This window comes from Homo sapiens, chromosome 3, assembly GCF_000001405.40.
Source record: "Homo sapiens chromosome 3, GRCh38.p14 Primary Assembly".
NCBI lineage: Eukaryota > Metazoa > Chordata > Mammalia > Primates > Hominidae > Homo > Homo sapiens.
In genome coordinates, this window is record NC_000003.12 from 113436319 (window position 1) to 113455401 (window position 19083).

Here is a 19083-nt window from a genome sequence, read left to right on the forward strand (position 1 = left end):
ATTGTTTAGATACACACACACCTAAATATTATTTTCTCCCTTGCCTTCATAATTTAGGTCAATTTAATTCTTAAAACTATTGAGCATATTATTATGCTAGGCATTGCAGAGGATACAAAGGTGAGCAATATACAGTCCCTCACCTCAATGTATAATTCAAGATGAAGAAATCAACAATTCTCTTTCAAAATAGTTTCAGAATAAACTTATCTTCTAAATCACTGATTCAGATCCATCAGAGTTTGACCAAAACAAGGATGGTCTGACAGTCGTGACTGAAGTGACTATGATTGATCGATAATGATTTCTTTGATAAAAATCAACATTTAAAGTATTGGAAAGTACTCCCTAAGTTTCCAAGACGCAGGTCCCAAATAAGTGAAGGCAAGGCAGTTCCTGGGTTTTCCAACAAAATCAAACTGATATTCTACTGCTGCTAATCAATTGATAACTAAATGAAAATTTTTCATCTGTGAGTTTCAATAGCACTTTCTTCTGTAAGTAGGTACTGTTTAGTTTTCCATTGCTGCCATATAAATTACCAGACATTTAGCAGCTTAAATAACATCCACTTATTATTTCATGGTTTTGTGAGTCAAAAGTCCAGGTCAAGTGTGACTCAGCTAGCTCTCTGCTTAGAGTTTCAGGAGGTTGCTAAGGTGTTGGCAGTGCTGCCTTCACTTTCAGAGGCTCTGAGGAAGAATCTACTTCTGGGCTCATTCAAGCTGCTGGCAGAATTCAGCCCCATGTGGCTATGGAACAGTGGTCCCTGCTTTCTTGCTGGCTGTTGCCCAAGAGTCCTTCTAAGTTCCAGAGGCCACTCGCATTCCTTGACTTATGGTGCCCTTTAAAGCCAGGAATAATGGGTCAAGTTCACCTAGTGATTTGAATCTCATGATTTTCTTCCCTGCTATCATAAGCCTCATGACTTCATGAGATCACTTTCTACTTTTCAGTCTTTTTTCTGAATAAATTTATTTTAACATACTATAACTGAACGTTAACTGGATATAGATTCTAATAAAAAGAGCCCATAATTTATTCACAAGATAATCATAAGGTGGGTAAAAAACAATTATGGGAACTAAAGCACTCTGAAAACAAGAGTTGAACCACAACAAAAGGTAAGTTGGTCTCAAGACGAAAGCACCACACTTTATTCTGTGCTATCTTAAACAATATATTCCCCAAATGGCTAATACTACCATGTAATAAACTTTCACATTACAAACCCAGTTAATGTCAGGTTGTGTACAATGTGGAAGAAAATACTGGAAACCAAGGAATTTGCCCGGTGTTCTGATGTAGCAATACCGGACAATAAATACTATTCCTACCTTTCCTGGGTCATAAAAGGTAACTGAAGAACCTGTAAAAAGCAGTGGAGCAGGTCAGGTGGGAGAGACTCCTGTTCTCCTGGAGATTATCAGTATAACTGGTAAGGTAGAATAAGGTATTTTTGGTTTTTTGGGGTTTTGTTTGTTTGTTTGTTTTGTTTTAATAACAAAGGGATTGGAAAGCTACATTGTAACCTGTGGAGACTTTGGAGCCACAGAGACTTGGGTTCACATCCCTGCTTGCCCAAGAAACAAGTTCCTTAACCTCTTGATCCTTTAATATGTAAAATGAGGGTGATAGGGTTATTTGGTAGAGTTGTTGTAAATATTAAATGAGATCTTTTATATACAGAGTTCTCAACTTTGACTGCACTTTGCAATCACTTGGAAAACTTAAAAACGTACTGTTAACAGGGTCTCACTCCCCAGATAATTCTTTCACACAATCAGGCATAAGAACTGGTTAGGAATCATGAGTTTATATAAAACACCTACTAGGCACTCAGAAATGGCAGTTGTTTTTACTATACTCCTAGATATTCTCTTTGACACATGTAGGGTTCAATAAATAAAATCATGGAATCTTCAGAGCTGAAAGAGGACTTTAGTTTAACTTCCTACCCCATGCAGGTCACACATCTCAACATCCACCCCAGCACTGTCAGAAAAGCAGTCTAGTGTGTTGGCCAGGGATGAGAATACTGGCTACAGTCAGTCTGACTAGGTTTAAATCTTGGCTCATCCTCTTCCTGGTTGTGAGGTGTTAACCAAGTATTTAATGGCTGTGTGCCTCAGTACTTCCATCTTTAAAATGCAGCACCTACTGGATAAGGTTGTTCTGAGTCAACACAGGAAAGCTCTAAGAATGATACATGGCAGTCAATATGTAAAATGGTTGCAGGAATGAATTTATTGATATATTCCTGAATAGATGAAAGAACAAGATTGTCAGTCAGCTTCAACTTAAATATTTCGGGTAAGAGGGTGAGCACATTCTGTTCATGCTCAGCTCTACTTCTTAGTATATTTTATATTAAGCTGAAATCTGCCTCCCTGCAACTTGGATCCATTTGACCCTTATTTTTTCTTCCGAGAACACACAGAACAAGTTTTTCTGTGTACTTCAACCATTCAAATAATTGTAGTTGGCTCTCATTTCTCTCCAGATCCTCTCTTTTCCCAGAGAAAGTATCCCAATTATTTCAATTATTCCTCAATGACATGTTTCCAACTTTTCTTTACCACCCTGAGAGCTCAAGAAGTTAATTCCCAATGCATCATATATACCTCCTAATTTTATATGTTCTTCGTAGGATCTGGACACTTTCCAGAAGAGCGGAACTACCAATTCACCTATCGGGGACATTCATTGTATTCCTTTAAGGCAGTCGAAGTTTGGGTTCTAGACCATGTTCTACATTCTATTAGTAAACTAGCTAGGTTTGGGAGTCTATTTGCAGGACTAGCATAAATTTCGTTTCATTAGATCCAGGCTTATTCGTCCAGCCTACAGCCAATTCTTTCAACTAACTCATTAGATAGACTGTGCAGTTTTGAGTTGTAAAAGTTGTCAGAATTAGAATGGAGTCACCAGTGTTAAGAAAGAACCCTGACAAATAGAGCTGGGGAAGGCTATGAAGAATGGGTTCTCACGCTTGTATGCTGGATAACTATCCCAAAAGACTGCAAAGACCACAGCCTTGCACAAAAGCCATCACAACCTTACACATAAAAAAAAATACTTCTACAAGGACATCTGCCCAACAATTGCCTGTCCAACCTCAGACTAGCATCACACTTATTGTTGATCTTTGTAGCCAAGGATAATTATCTCAAAATAATTATGTAGTCTTTTTCATTATTCCTTTAAAACCCTTGTTTTCCTTTACCTCCCTAAATACACATATAGTTTACCATGGCACGCATATTCCATTGCAATGCCTTACTCCCGAATAAACATCATCTTCTTTTAGAAAGCCGCTCTCTGTATGTTATTTAGGTTGACAGGGTCAACTCTAAGGAAGTATAAAGAAAAAGGGAAAATAATAGTACACATTGATGCAGAGGAGTGTGTTGCTAGAAGGTTGGCTAGACGCCAGACAGAGTGCTGTCTAAGGTGACATTACTCTGATTCATTCACCAGAGTCCAGGTTCTGGTCCTCATGCTCACAAGCTCACTCAATCCCAGCAGTGTGCCAGAGGTGGTTATTTAAGATTCACAGTGACTGATGTATAAAACAGACTCTCGGTTTTTACTTTGCAATGTGAAATACAGCTGTGGAGAAAAAAAGTAATAGCTTGTCTTTTTTAATGTTTACTATGTGTCAAGTACAGTTCTAAGAAATTCTACACATATTATCGTACAATTCTCAAAACGACCCTATGAGGTAGGTACCATTATTATTTTATTTATGTATTTATGTATTGAGATGGAGTCTGGCTCTGTCACCCAGGCTGGAGTGCAGTGCTGCGATCTCAGCTCACCGCAAACTCCACCTCCCTGGTTCAAGCGATTCTCGTGCCTCAGCCTCCCGAGTAGCTGCGATTACAGGCGCACACCACCTCGCCCGGCTAATTTTTGTATTTTTAGTAGACGGGTTTCCCCATGTTGGCCAGACTTGTCTCGAACTCCTGACCTCAGGTGATCTACCCACCTCCGCCTCCCAAAGTGCTGGGATCACAGGCGTCAGCCACCGCGCACAGCCTATTATTATTATTTTTGAGACAAAGTCTTGCTATCCATTATTATTACTGTCATTATTTTACAGATGAGAAAGCAGCGTATTTACTCTGAATCCGTTCCTCTCACCCAATTCATGTAGATGATTTCCAAGTCCTGTTACTTGGTGTCCAGTGATTAAGCCTTTTGAATTCCTCCCCTCCCTTCATTCCTACTGTCCCTGCTGTCCCTCTGTAGTTCCAGTCCTCACTGTGTCTCACCTCTACCATTACTGTACCGTCATACTTTGTCTTCCCTTCTGTAACCCATTTTCTACACTATCGCTTGTATTTCTAAAACACAGCTTTTAATGTGTCACTCTTGCTTAAAACCTCTAATGGCTCATCACTGCTATCAAATAAGAGCTCAGATTCCTCGGTCTGGTGTAAAGGTCCCTTGTCAGAGGGTCTGTAGCTTATTGCAGCCCAGCTACAGTCACCCTCTCTCTCTCCCTAGCCTCCTTAGCCTTCTCCTCTCAAAGATTTTCATCAGTACGCACCCTTAGCAACTCATGATAGACTGGACACACTGAGCAGCACACATGTATGCGACTGTCTTTACCTATTATCCGACAAATATTTATGTGCACCTACTATGTGTCATGCATGTGCTAAGCACTTTACTTGTATTATCCTGTTTAATAATAACTCCATGAGGTCACATTATCACCTTTCTTTCTGGAGATGAGGAAGCCGAAGTGCAGAGGGCCCAGCGTGCCAAGCGTCGCACCCAGCTGAGCGCAGGGCAGGTGTCTCACTGGAGCGGGGAGCCCCAGCACCTTCCCAGCTGACTCGCTGCTGCTCTGACTTGGCCGGGTCTAAGCTGTGCTCCTGCTGCCTGGCTGGCTTCCGCCCGGTCAGACTGACAGGGTCTTGCAGGCAGGAACCGTGCACACAGTGTCTAGCTCCGAGCCTGAGAATACTCGTGGCTTCAAAAGTTTGCTGAGCTACCGCAGGGAGGACGAAGGCTATAACACTGGTCCAGCCTGAGAGAAGCCCAAGTGGGGTTCACTGCCCTCTGAGCCACAGATTTAAGGGGGAGGGTGTGGAAACTGCCGGCTGCTGAGGTCCAAACTCACCGAAGGTACTGACCGCCGCGGCTCCTCTCTTCACAGCGTCTGCCGGAGGCCTCCGTTTACTCCGGTTACCGAGACAACGCCACCCCTCTTCCAGGGAGGCGGAACCAGGGCGGGCCGTGGGGCGCATGCGCGGCCGGCGTCCAGCTCTCCGGGAACCCGGTACCTATCCGCCCTTTGGTCGGGCCTTCTCCGCCTCATGACACTGGTTCAAAGCCAAACAGAAAAGCCCGACGAGTTTATTATCCCCTAAAGGACGTCATGTAGATAATTAAATGACATGAATACCGTCGAAGATACCTGCCTGATATTCCAAAATGGCCCAACGGAGCCCTGATCGCGGCGTTCCTATGTTGAGGTTTTAACTTCGATTTTAAGAGGGGTCCTGGGAGATAGTAGGCAGCTTGCCGGCAACATCAACAACAAAGATACATCGTGGGATTTTTGTTATTTTTAAAACTATATTATCTCTGTTGGCTTTTAAGAGTAAATCAGGTTTTATGTTGTGGGTTTCTTGGTCGCAGCGCTCTGGGCACAAAAGTATAGGCCTCCCTTGACAGATTTCTAGGTTTAGCAGTTTGTTCAACCTCTCTGTAGTACTGTGGTCATATTGTTTTTTAAAGTACCTAGCCTAACGTTATTAGTTACCAAATACTTGTTTTAAAATGGTCATTCCAATATGTGACAAAGGACTTTGTATACAGAATGTATAAAGAACTCTTATAATTCAATAAGAAAAAACCACCCAATTTCTTAAATGGGCAAAGGATTTGAATACTTCACCAAATCAGATATATGTATGGCCAATAAGCACATGGATAGATGCTTAAAAGTAGTCATAAGGGAAATAGAAACCACAATACACATAACTCCACATCCACGTGAAGGGGTAAAACTTCAAAGATTGCTAACACCAAATGCAGAAGGATATGGAGCAACTGGAACTCGCATACACTGCTGTTGGGAATGTAAAATGGCATAACCACTTTGGAAAACTATTTGAGAGGTTTCTTCAAAAGTTAAACATACACAAAGTCATTCCACATCCAAGATAGTCTAGAGACTTGGGCAAAGTGGTTGCCTAGGACTTAGTGAGATGCACTGGAAAGAGACACAAGGAATCTTAGAAATGATAGAAATGCTGTGTCTTCATTGTGGTGGTAATTTCATGGGTATATACAACTGCCAAAAGCCAATAAACTGTTCTCTTTAAATGGATGTCATTTATTGTATATAAATTATTTGTCAATAAAATTGGCAAGAAAAAATTGCTATAATACAATTTGTGTTTATTAGTTTCCACAATGTTACACAAATACCATGCATTTATTTGCAATACTGAAATGTCCTCTTTAATCAAGATTTTCCAGGGCTTAAAAAAATGATTATCCTTGCTATTACTTATTAAATGGTATATCTAGGTGCCAGAAAAGATAGAAAACATAGGGTAAACTTATTTTTAAATAGCATGTTATTTATATTTTCAAATCATATGCCCAGCATGTTTTCTTTCAATCTCTAGACATCTTTTCAGGTGAAATACCTCTAAATTTCAAGCACTGTGTGCAATTGTTAATCTGAGAAAGATACAATAAATTCACTATACAATGTCTTAAAAATTGGAAACATGGGGGAAATAGTGTATTTATTTATTTATATACCAAAAAAAATTGGCAGTGATCATTACTGAGTGTTGTGAGCCAAGCTCTGATCTCAGCCCATTTACATACACTTGCCTCACTTAATCCTCACAAGCCTCTAGGGAAGACATTATGTCTGACTTTCAAATGGGAAAGATTAGATTAATTTGTCCAAAGTACACAGCTCAAGTGGCAGAAATGGCATTTGAGGCAAGATTTCTGGTTTCAGTACTTGCATCCTTAGCTACTGTACTGTATTAGTTCCCGTAAATTAGGAGAAATCCAGTAACTGCAAGAAAGAGCTTCAAGTCTTGGCTTTACCTCTTACAAGCACTCTGTCATTAGACAACTTTCTTCACCTCTAGGGCTCAGCATCCTCATCTGTAAAGGTGCTGGGAGAGGAGGAAGCATTTACATACCTCTAACTGATAGGTCTACTATGAGATTCAAATGAGATAATGGTGATACCACAGCTTATAGTACGGTGTCTGCCACAGTAATGGCTCAATAAGGAACAGCTATTCTTATTATTATGCTGCTTCCATACTACACACACTGTAAAACAGGTTTACTCTCCAACAAGAGGCAGCACAGCATAGGCTTTGGAGAAAGACTGCCTATGTTCCCATTCTAATGCCACCACTCCCTAGTTGTGTGACCTTGAGAAAATACCTCCTTGTACCTCAGTTTCCTCATCTGCAAAATGAGGATAATAGTACCTATCCCATAAGGTGTCATGAAGCACATAAAGTGGCTACAATATTGCCTAGTATGTAGTTAACAGTTAATTATTAAATTCTGCTAACCAAAATAATTTTGTTTACAGCATAAGAATGATTATATGATAACTGTGGATGTTGTTATCAATCCAGTATCTCTGCCAACCTGTAATTTGGAAAACTGTAAATTTCAGGTTGAGCAAGTTATTAGCAGCTTTCTGGGGCATACTGGAGAAGTCATATGTTATCAAAATATATGAGTCTAAACACAAGTAATCTCAGTTTGAATTGTTCACTCAGGTTGAGAATTCCTATCATAGAGCCAGGGAGCAGAGATCATTCAAAAAACAAGTTTAAAATAGAAATAAACATCTCAGAACCAAAAGGGTACCCTGAAAAATCTATCCTGAGCCGGGTGCAGTGGCTCACACCTGTAATCCCGGCACTTTGGGAAACCAAGGCAGGTGGATCATTTGAGGTCAGGAGTTCGAGATCAGCCTGGCCAACATGGTGAAACCCCGTCTCTACTGAAAATACACAAATTAGCTGGGCGTGGTGGCATGAACCTATAATCCTAGCTACTCAGGAGGCTGAGGTAAGAGGATTGCTTGAACCCAGGAGACTGAGGTGGCAGTGAACCAGATTATACAACTGCACTCCAGCCTGGGCAATAAAGCAAGACTCTGTCTCAAAAAAAAAAAAAAAAGAGAAATCTACCCTGAAAGATCTGCTTAAATTCAGGGCTGGGAAAATTAATAGCAACTTTTTCTATTTAATTGTTTGAAGCATTAAATATACCATTAAATCAATGTTACCACATTTAGGCATTTGAGCTCTAGAATCATATTTATTTGATTTGCATTACCATTATTGATGACATTTTCACATTTAAAAACTACATAAGATTTTATAATAAATGCAACCACTCTTACCTGCTTAAGCAAATATAAACAAACACTCCCAGGCCTATTGTTTTTAAGGCTGTATATTTCACTTGATGGAAAAAGTGATGAACAGCAATGACTTCCCAAGAAAAAAGAAAGAAAAGTGGGTGTTACATATTCCTGAAAGCCAGACTCTAATCACACAGAGGAATTTTATTGTAAGTTACATGCAAAGCAAATTAGTTCTTCAGGAAAATAAATAAATAAATGGATCAACTAAGATATACTAAACCTCAAAAAACCCTGAATAAAGATAAAGGTAAAAATGTATTAATAAAAAAAACCCTTAAAATACTTAAGAAAGTATTAAAATACAAAACTTTAACTTCTCTACAGTCAAAGTTTCATTCACAGGGAGCTGTAGGTCAGTTGGTTGTTGAAAACTTATTTGAGAAAGTCAAAAAATAATTGCTTTATTTCTCTGTTTCATTAGTACTAATTCACAGGATCTTTGTAGGTTTTATCTGAAAGAAGGATATAAAAACTTAAAAGTCAGAGCAGGGAAAGGGAAGTAATAAATTATTAAGAACAAACTCAGTGAGACTTGACTTCACTTATGATACATGGGTAGAAAGAGCAAACCAGCCTTCTTCATTCTGTTTCTCAATCTGTTGAACAAAGACACGGAAAAAATTTAGATGGTAATTAGAAACATGAGACTACTCAAGATTTACAGATCATTTAGACCAAGTGCATAAAACAAAGTCATCCTGTGCCATTGAATGGTACTGGAAATTAAATTGTTATTGGCAATGTTAATTCTCTAACAGAGATACTACCAAATAACTGATTACTTGGTCAACAGATCCTCTTACTGATTTAGGAGTCATAATTTTTTTAAGTCCAGTGTTTTATAGCTATCATAGGCATAAATTTTTAAAATGATAAAAAGGCAGTTATTTGGTCTTAGTAAATTAAATGCTACTAAATTCCAGGAACTAAGAATAATTTATATAAATTAGCTTACTTTAAAGCTTTTGTAGAATATAAGAAGTAGCAAAGAACAAATCTCCTAGAACTGGACAATTCGGGTATCTATCATTCCCCTATCATTTAATATCTTTCCCCTATCATTTAATTTGGGCTATAAGCACCCACTCTTTGATCTAATTACTGAACTCAGTAATAAGAAATGCAAAGATTTTCCCAATGTCAGACACTTATTGGCTCAAGTCTACAAAATTAACTTTTACAATTTTAAAGATATCCTCACAATTTACCATAACCACTCAAAGGAACTATATTTTACTGTACTAGCACCACAGAAAAAATGCCTTCTGCAAAAATTTTGAATATACTGTGAAATGCTTAGCTTCTATACATACCTATGGCACATCAAAATACATGAAGAACACATTAAGACATTTATTTTTCCCTGGTACCATAACCTATCTAACCAATGGCACAGTCAGATATGGCACACAGGGATAAAATGAGAGGAAAAGTGACTGGACCCAGTGCTCTGGCTGTCCCAGACCCCACCCAAGCACAAGGACTGGGGGAACCAATAGCTCAGTAGATCTACAACCCATTCAAGGCACACCTGTGTGTCCTGCCGTAAATATATGGGAAGCTCTACCTGAAACCAGTAATTTCCAGTCTTTAAGGACTGTTGAATATCCTATTGAATTTTACCTTATTCCTTAGTTACCCTAGAAAACAGAAGAAGTATATGGCTTGTTTTTCCTAAAAAGGTAAATTAGTATTTCTTTTCTTTTAAGAATATCATACCAGCTTTAGGATAACAGGAATGATAATTAAGAATGGAAATCACTAAATCAGCCACCTTCTACCCTCACCCCTATATGCATTTCACAATTACATTTTAACGTGTACCTTTGCTCTTGGATTAAGAGGTGTGAATCTCCCACTTCCTGAGGTGGCATTTAGTGGAGAACAAGAATTACCAGTAGCCCCGGAAGATCTATTCATGAAAAATAAAACAGAGTAAGAGAGTGAGCTATCATTATTAACCTTAAAAGATTATGCAAACAACTGACAATTCTCAATACTGGCAAGAGCTTGAAAACATATGGCTAACTTAGGTCCAACGAGGTAAATTATTTGTAACTTATTTTCACCAACCTGTAAGTCTTTATTTGTTCATTAATAGTGATATGGTTTGGCTGTGTCCCCACCAAAATCTCAACTTGAATTGTATCTCCCAGAATTCGCCCATGTTGTGGGAGGGACTCATGGGGAGGTAACTGAATCATGGGGGCCGGTCTTTCCCATGCTATTCTCGTGATAGTAAATAAGTCTCATGAGACCTGATGGGTTTATCAGGGGTTTCTGCTTTTGCTTCTTCCTCATTTTCTCTTGCTGCCACCATGTTAGAAGTTTCCTTCGCCTCCCACCATGATTTTAAAGCCTCTCCAGCCATGTGAAACTGTAAGTCCAATTCAACCTCTTTTTCTTCCCAATCTCAGTTATGTTTTTATCAGCAACATGAAAATGGACTAATACAAATATAATTTAATTTTTAGAGCTGTTTTAGGTTTATGGAAAGATGAGTGGAAAGTACAGAGTTCCCATATGCCCCTTACCCCCCACCTCCAACACACACACAGTTTCCCCTATTATTAAGATCTTGCATTAGTGTGACAAATCTATTACAACAGATGATCTAATGTTGATATAATTGACTGAAGTTCATAGCTTACATCAGGGTTCACTCTCTGTGTTACACATTCTGTGGGTTTTCACAAATGTATAATGACATGTATCTGGCATTACAATATTATATGGATAAATTTTCAATAATAAAGAGAAAAAGAACGTGCAGGGATGGGGAAAAAGGTCCAGGTAGTAGAAGAGTAACACGACCTGGAACAGCACAGTACAATAGTAAGGATGCAGAGTAGAGACAGAAAGGCCAGGTATGTCCTTAGTGTCACTATTTACCAATCATATGACCCATCTAGACAAATCACCCAATTAACTCGGAGAGCTTCAGTTTCATTTACTGTGAAGGAGGAAAATACTATTGGTCAATTCAGCTGTCCTGTCATACATCATCTCCTAATTTTGTAACCCGTAAGTACTCTACATACGTGTTATCTCACTTTTGTTTTCAGTAGCAAACCCATGCCTTTCTACTTAAAGTTTATTCCTCACTCCATTTCCCCTCAAAATTCTCTTTTCCAATTATTTTACTCTCTTTGCATGAGTCTGTCTCAACCTAAGTCAGATACTGTACACTTCCTTTTTTCACAAAGAGAATAAAATACATACCAAATTCTTTTTGATTTTTTTTTTTAAATAAATATTCACACTGCAACTTACCTTCTTGTATTTATCCCGCTGACGGGAGAGACAGTACTACATTTTGAGCTTTCTGGGGCTTCTGCTCCTGGAATAGATACCTCAATTGTCCTCTTTGCTCCTTCTAAAATATAAAAATAAATATTAGTTCCATTACCTTTCAATGAAATAAAAATTTCACTCAATTTCTATCTTACTGCAAACTGCACATTAAAAATTTGGTGGTTCTTTCCATCTGTTTTAATCTTAGCCCAAGATACACTTGAAAGACTTTTTTTTTTTTTTACTGAACTGTGGGATAAGAAACTTTAGTTACTAGTGTTAATTCAGTAGCATGCCAGTTCATAGAGAGCCAAAATCTTCAGACAAGTGGCATCATGTCAGCTCTGGAGGTGAAAAACAGGAATTAAGAGCTAGCCCTAAAGAGCTTGAGATCTTTGTCCAAAAGAGCTTACCTAAAGTTTTCCCAAAAAAAAAGGAAAAAGAAAATTTCTGAAGTCATTCAGTAAAACTTTAAATCTTTTAAATCGATTACATTATGACTATTACTGAAGACATTAAAGTAGGAGAGGAAAGTTGGCTGAAGAGCTCCATATGGCCAATAGCAAGTATAATTATGAATATTTTCCATATTTCAGAAGTAGGTAATCAATCAGCATATTTACTAAGTATTTACTAATGAAAGACTTAATGTTCATCACAGGCAGTTTCACAGAGGCTCCTGACTTTGTGTGACTTCCTGGCTTTACAAGGTAATAAAACCCTATTTAATTTTACAAAATATTCCTCAGTTACCCTAGAAAACAAAAGAGGTTTTTCATGATATATGGTTTATTTTTATTTTTATCATTATAGTCCACAGCAGCTTTTTTTTAAACAAATATAAGAATTTTACTTATAAAAAGAATACTTTAGAGATAAATCACTGGACAGGAAAGAACGCAGTTGCAAATCCACAACTTGCTTTGTAACTTGATAAATCACATAACCTCTTTGTACCTCAGTTTACTTATTCATCAAATAGGTATAATATTAGCCCTGTCTCCTCTTAAAGTATGTTGAGGACTAAATTACATAACATAAATAAAAGCATATTTTAACCATACACAAATACTGAAATGGAAGATGTATATTTAAACACAAAATTATTCTTAAGGCTGATCTGCTTTATTTTTCTTCCTTGCACTTAGCACTAACTGATATTATCCCAAATATTGATTTGTTTGTTGCCTGCTCCCCTACTCAAATGCTAGAGTATTCAAGCCCACACATGGCAGGCACATAGTACATGTTCGCACATAGTACATGTTCGCACATAGTACATGTTCGCACATAGTACATGTTCATATATAGTTAATTGATTTATTTATTCTAATCAGAAGTTGTCTCTAGGCTTCATAACTATGAAGAACAGTAGACAAAACTGTCATTTGAGGAAGCCTAGAATAAACAGAGAGCCCTGGGGAAATGCATTACCATCTTTTTCCAGCAATTTCCAAAAGAGTCTGCTTTCTGGGTCTGTATTTCAAAAAGGAAATAATTTCTGAGGGGAAAAGTCTTATTGGAAGGTATCTTAAAGGTAACCTACTTCAACCAGAAATAAGACATATGAGTCCCCTTCAAACACCAATGTTTGAACATCTCAGAGAACACATCAATTACTGGTACATGGAGCTTTTTCTATTCCTGACAATTAGAGCCTTCTCTTTTACTGGGCCAAAATCAATCTCTCAGTACTCTTCATGTAGCTGTCCCTTGAGGGCCTTAATAATGCAATTTCTGATAAAAAGCAACTTGATACATACTTCGTTTCATCAGTATCTTTTTGAATGTGAATACTATGACAATTTTTTCAGTTACTATTTTATTATTCAGAATCCCCTCTAGCTTTTCACATTCCTAAATGTAACAAAAAATTTAATTGAGTGAAAATGTTTTAAGTGTTTTACAGAATAATAACTTGTAATTCATTGCTGATGAAATTCTAAATGAACATTCAGATATTTCATGCTTAGTTGCAGCATATGACCTAAGTGAACCGTACACTATAATGAATCCCATTTAGATGTACGATAATTTAGGAACTCAGACACCAAAGATTAACTATAGGCATCATAGGATAGAAATAATCAGGAGATCTGCCTTCTAATCCCATTTCTGTCACTTATCCTGTGAGTTAGGGCTATTTCTTTCTGTGCAAAATTGAAGGCACCAAAATATATGCTCTGATACTTCTTTTGGCTTAATATAAACTTGCAAAATCAAGAAAACTGAAAACCTTCATATTTCTAGTTTTTAAATCATGAATTTGTGACCAACCAGTCCATGCTCTGAGAGGTAACTGAACAGGTGACATTGGTGGAGAAAGATTCAAACCAACAAGTTTCTGCTGCTCTATCAACTGCAGTAGTTTTCCACGAGCCTCCATACTTTGTCGATTCAATTCTGCAATCCGTTCCTCCATACTACCTGGTGTTAGAGACTGTGCTACTGGAAAAGTCTTTGGGAGAAAAAAAAAAAAAGTACAAATTGAATACTGAATACTGAAAAATCTCTCCCACGATTTTTTTTTTTTTTTTAGGCAGAGTCTCACTCTGTTGCCCAGGCTGGAGTGCAGTGGCGCTATCTCGGCTCACTGCAACATCTGCCTCCCGGGTTCACGCCATTCTCCTGCCTCAGTCTCCCGAGTAGCTGGGACTACAGGCACCTGCCACCACGCCCAGCTAATTTTTTGTATTTTTAGCAGAGACGGGGTTTCACCGTGTTAGCCAGGATGGTCTCCATCTCCTGACCTCGTGATCCACCCACCTCGATCTCACACAATTTTGACTTACTAATGGCCAGCAAGTTAGTATTCATAGCCCTTATTATATATAAATGTGAATAGTGAGCACACAATAGAATTTACAGTCCCTTTAAGCATATATTCTGGGAAAAGCTTTTCTGTATCTCTTAGTATCTGCAGAGCTGCACAAAAGATCACATGAGCAAAGAGACTGCTCCAAGTGAGCTGGTCTCTAAGTAAATGCCACACATCTTTGAAGACAGATCTGCAGTTTGACAGATTACAAAAGAGGATCTGCTATCTTGGAAACAGAAGTTTCTATAATTACAGGCTTCAAATATGCACCATTTGGCAAAGATTCTGGGAATCTTGTCACTCCTTCTAACCATATGTCAGCCTCCCCAAGCCACTTTTGGCCTAAGGTATCTGATTCAAGAATAGTTGGTGATTGGAAAGAAATATGAGAGGTAGGGTAAAAAATAGCCGCCCAAAAAATATAGCATAAATTTAATTTGAAAATTCCCCCCCCAAATGTGCTTATGTCATTCCTAATTATTTCATTATTCCTAATTATGTCATTATTTCAGTCCTAGTTATTTCATTTCTCTTTGGAAAAAAATAATCCCTAATAAAAATCACTGATTTTTAGCTTATGTCTATTAGTAATAAATAAATAAATAAATAGGAAAATCAGTATGAATTAAAGATCATTTTGTATTTCCAATTAAAACAAAAGAGGGTAGTGAAGACAGAAATATTAGATAGTCCCTTCCAGCTTGATCTACATACTAATTAGAAAAGGAGGCAAGCAAAACATTAGACTCTGCTGTCTTTTTTAAACCAAGAGTTGCCTGTTATGAATAATCTTCAAAACTACAAATATATAAATGCCTCCCAGTGACTCAAAATTGAGGCAGTTGATATTTACTTATATACACCACTACCAATGGCTGGCTGCTCCCTACTAGCAATATTCCTTTCTGGCTCCTCTTCTGCCAGTTCCTTCTGTCTACTTCTATGATTCAATACCCATATTGTCCTTATTCCCCATGACCCAGTGCTGACAGAGATGGCCCTTACCCTATGACTCACCTCACCCTAACCTTCCTCACCAAAGCCCTCCAACCCACTGTTGTTAAAGCCCTTATGAACACAGCCACCTCACGAGCTTCTAATCCCCAGTGACAGTGCCCAGCTCCTCCTATCAGAAACTTGACAGGAGCGGCCTTGGCTCTAGAAGGGGTAAAAGAAAGTGTCTACCATCACTGGAACCAGCATTTGGAGCTCTTTTATAAACCCTCCCTAGCTGGAATTTAGACTCCCTATCTCCCCCAGAAACAACGAAATGAAGGTTTAAGTTACCAGGTTAGCCCACAAAGTTTATTTAACTTACAAAACTCCTGCACTATAAAATGCAGACCTTTGCTACTCAAAGCGTGGTCCTCAGACTAGCAGCACTGGCATCACTTGGGAACTTATTAGAAATGCACAGGTCCTACCCTAGACCTACTCAATCAGAAACCACATTTCAGCAAGATCCCCAGATGATTAATATGTATATTAAAGTCTGGCTTTAATAATCCTTTAAAACATTATTTCTGGCCAGATGCAGTGGCTCATGCCTGTAATTCCAGCACTTTGGGAGGCCGAGGCAAACAGATCACTTGTGGTCAGGAGTTCGAGACCAGCCTGGCCAACATGGCGAAACCCCGCCTCTACAAAAAATACAAAAATTCACCAGGTGTGGTAGTACGCACCTGTAATCCCAGCTACTTGGGAGGCTGAGGCAGCAGAATCGCTTGAACCCAGGAGGTGGCGGTTGCAGGGAGCCAAGATTGCGTCACTGCGCTCCAGCCTGAGCAACAGAGTGAGACTCCATCTCAAAAAAACAAAACAGGCTGGGCGCAGTGGCTCATGCCTGTAATTCCAGCACTTTGGGAGGCTGAGGCGGGCAGATCACGAGGTCAGGAATTCAAGACTAGCCTGACCAACATGGTGAAACCCCGTCTCTACTAAAAATACAAAAATTAGCCAGGTGTGGTGGTGCATGCCTGTAATCCCAGCTACTTAGGAGGCTGAGGCAGGAGAATCACTTGAACCCGGGAGGCAGAGGTTGCAGTGAGCCGAGATCATGCCACTGCACTCCAGCTTGGGCAACAGAGCAAGACTCCGTCTCAAAAAAAACAAAACAAACAAACAACACACAAAACAAAACAAAAAAACCACCTCATTTCTATAGGAAAATCCATTCTATGTCCTCAAAAATTAACTACTCATGAGTTGAGGGCCAATACTCTTTTATGAGCCATTTTAAAAATAAAAATATTTTCAATTAACATGTGGCTGTGTGGCAAACATTCAAGTAACATTAATTCTATATTTTATACCTAAAACTTCATTCCTAACTTAATCTTAGCTTTCCTACGCATTTTATCTTTGTCCTATTTTCATTTATATAATTTCCCTTTTATGCTGTCTTGTATTGTATGTACAACAGACTGATAAATAACTTGGACCTATTGTATTGAGGACATGCCAAACATAAGCCATCTAGCCTCAAAGCTTTCTAGGATCACTTCTGAAAAGAAGTTTCTTAAGTTGCCCAAGCTAAAGTTCCTATTTAAATTCCTATATGTCCCTAATCAATCCTTAAATGGTACTCACAGAAGTCATGTCACTTGCACTTTCTTGTTTGTTCAACTCCCGGAGTCCATCCCCTTGCTCTCCTCTGGGCTCAATAATATTATTCATATGTGCCTTGATAGCTGAATTCTGCAATGTCAAATCAGCAATTCGTGTCATTATGTCCTTTCTTTGTATTAATGACTCATTTGTTCTCAGCTGCTGCCCATCTCCCAGTACTGGGAGCTCTTCTGAGAATGTGGGGCTTCTTGACTGTTGAGTGTTGGAATGGGAATTGCAGAGGGGCTGTGAGAGGTTAACAAAAGGAGCCTGAGTTTTGTTCTCCAAATCTTCTCCCATGTGAGAGACTCTCCATCTCTGAGTGAAGAGACGATTCTCTTCACTTGAATTCTGAATGTCTGTATCAATAGGTAAGGTCTTCTCTTCCCAATTTTGTTCCTTCTCAATTATTTCCACAGTTGGAGGAAGTCGTGGAGCAGGACGAGTTTGAACAGTCCTTCTCAATACTATAGATAAGAATTTAAAAATAACAAATATGTATTATTTTCCCATAGATTGGCACTATACTCATTTCATTAGCCCACCATGGTAGTTAGAAAAGTATTTCAGTAGAAGGGTTTGGCTTCTGAATGCTTAAACTATTTTCAGCAGAGAACACACCAGCAATGCCGCCCCTCGTAATCAAGTACAGAGACTTTTTACATTCCTTAAAGCATTTGTTAGTACCCTTGTGAAAAACCATCTGTCAAGTTCACATTTTAACGCATATATTAACTCACATCTGGGAATCTTGGGGAATGAGGAAGTGGGTATAAGTACCCAATTTAAACAGCAGATAACCAGGAAAGGCCTCTCTGAGGAAGTAAAATTTTTAAATGATTACATATGTAATAGGAACTGAGCAAAGGACATTACAGGCAGAAAATGACTGCCTTTAGGGGTATGTACTGTGAAAGCTGTCAGAATCAAAATGGAGTCATTTGGCCGGGCGCGGTGGCTCACTCCTATAATACCCGCACTTTGCAAGGCCAAGGTCGGCAGATCACCTCAGGTCAGGAGTTCGAGATCAGCCTGGCCAACATAGTGAAACTCAGTCTATACTAATAATACATATTTTAAAAACTAGCCAGCCATGATGGTGCACGGCTGTAATCCCAGCTACTCAGGAGGCTGAGGCAGGAGAATAGCTTGAACCCAGGAGGCAGAGGTTGCAGTGAGCTGAGATTGCACCATTGCACTCCAGCCTGGGTGACAAGAGCGAAACTCCATCTCAAAGGAAAAAAAAAAAAATCAGACATTTGTGTCAGAGCGCAAGTGACTTTATCAGAGTCACTTTATCAGACACAAGTGACTGATAAGTGGAGCCTTAAAAAGCCAGGAAGGAAGGGTTCTCAGGCATGTATGACTGATAACAAGAACTGTTCAAGAGACTTCAAAAACCAGAACCTTGCACAAAGGACACCACAATCTTACACAAAAAATAATTCTGCGAGGACATTTGCCCAACATCTGCCTATCCAACCTTAGACTGATGCCACCCTTGTTATTGATCCTTGTAGCCAAGGATAGTTATCTCAAAACAACTTAAATAATCCTCCTCATTTCCCCTTTAAAAACTCTTGTCTTCCTTTACTTCCCTGAATATGCCCACCATATTCCCATTGCAATTCTCAATCTCAAATAAATATCAGTTTCTTTTAGAGAGCCTTTCTCTGGGTTAAATTGACAGTACTTTTTAAAAAACCATATACAAATATGAATTCGAATGAACGCTTTAAAATAAAGGATGAATGGGAGATCAGAAAATGAAATGAAACTGCACACCAATACACACAGACACACACACCCACTACTCGTTCAAGAAGCATGGCTGTAAAGAAAAGCAGAAATAAATCAATAGCTAGAGGAAAATATTTATGATGGGAAATTCTACAGCAATAGTGTCCAATATGGCAGC

At 38.7% G+C, this 19083-nt stretch overlaps 2 protein-coding genes and 1 long non-coding RNA gene across 19 annotated transcripts in view; all 3 read right to left on the bottom strand.

Annotated features, from left to right (window-relative positions):
* The window catches only part of CFAP44 (cilia and flagella associated protein 44), a 154585-nt gene extending 149389 nt beyond the window's left edge, over window positions 1–5196 (bottom strand). The window contains exon 1 of one of the 2 annotated variants that reach the window (NM_001164496.2): window positions 5135–5175. The gene's annotated coding sequence lies outside the window, so the exon portion shown is untranslated. Of the gene's footprint in view, window positions 1–5134 lie in introns of both variants that reach the window. The other variant, NM_018338.3, reaches the window with a different exon arrangement.
* Window positions 1–19083, bottom strand: part of SPICE1-CFAP44 (SPICE1-CFAP44 readthrough (NMD candidate)) — a 228227-nt gene that overhangs the window by 149389 nt on the left and 59755 nt on the right. For 7 of the 12 annotated variants that reach the window (NR_183045.1, NR_183048.1, NR_183047.1 and 4 more), the window contains 6 exons: window positions 17148–17632; window positions 14018–14198; window positions 11720–11822; window positions 10271–10358; window positions 8423–9042; window positions 5135–5336 (listed from right to left, as the gene is read on the bottom strand). This is a non-coding gene — a long non-coding RNA (SPICE1-CFAP44 readthrough (NMD candidate)). Of the gene's footprint in view, window positions 1–5134; window positions 5381–5435; window positions 5535–8422; window positions 9043–10270; window positions 10359–11719; window positions 11823–14017; window positions 14199–17147; window positions 17633–19083 lie in introns of all 12 variants that reach the window. The other 5 variants (NR_183050.1, NR_183049.1, NR_183056.1 and 2 more) reach the window with 3 other exon arrangements.
* The window catches only part of SPICE1 (spindle and centriole associated protein 1), a 72439-nt gene continuing 59755 nt past the window's right edge, over window positions 6400–19083 (bottom strand). For all 5 annotated transcript variants that reach the window (NR_170870.1, NM_001331078.2, NM_144718.4 and 2 more), the window contains exons 14-18: window positions 17148–17632; window positions 14018–14198; window positions 11720–11822; window positions 10271–10358; window positions 6400–9042 (exon numbers count right to left, since the gene is read on the bottom strand). Coding sequence is in view for 4 of the 5 variants with exons in the window: in NM_001331078.2 (NP_001318007.1) it covers window positions 8989–9042; window positions 10271–10358; window positions 11720–11822; window positions 14018–14198; window positions 17148–17632 (911 nt within the window). In the remaining variant the exon portion in view is untranslated. The remainder of the gene's footprint in view (window positions 9043–10270; window positions 10359–11719; window positions 11823–14017; window positions 14199–17147; window positions 17633–19083) is intronic.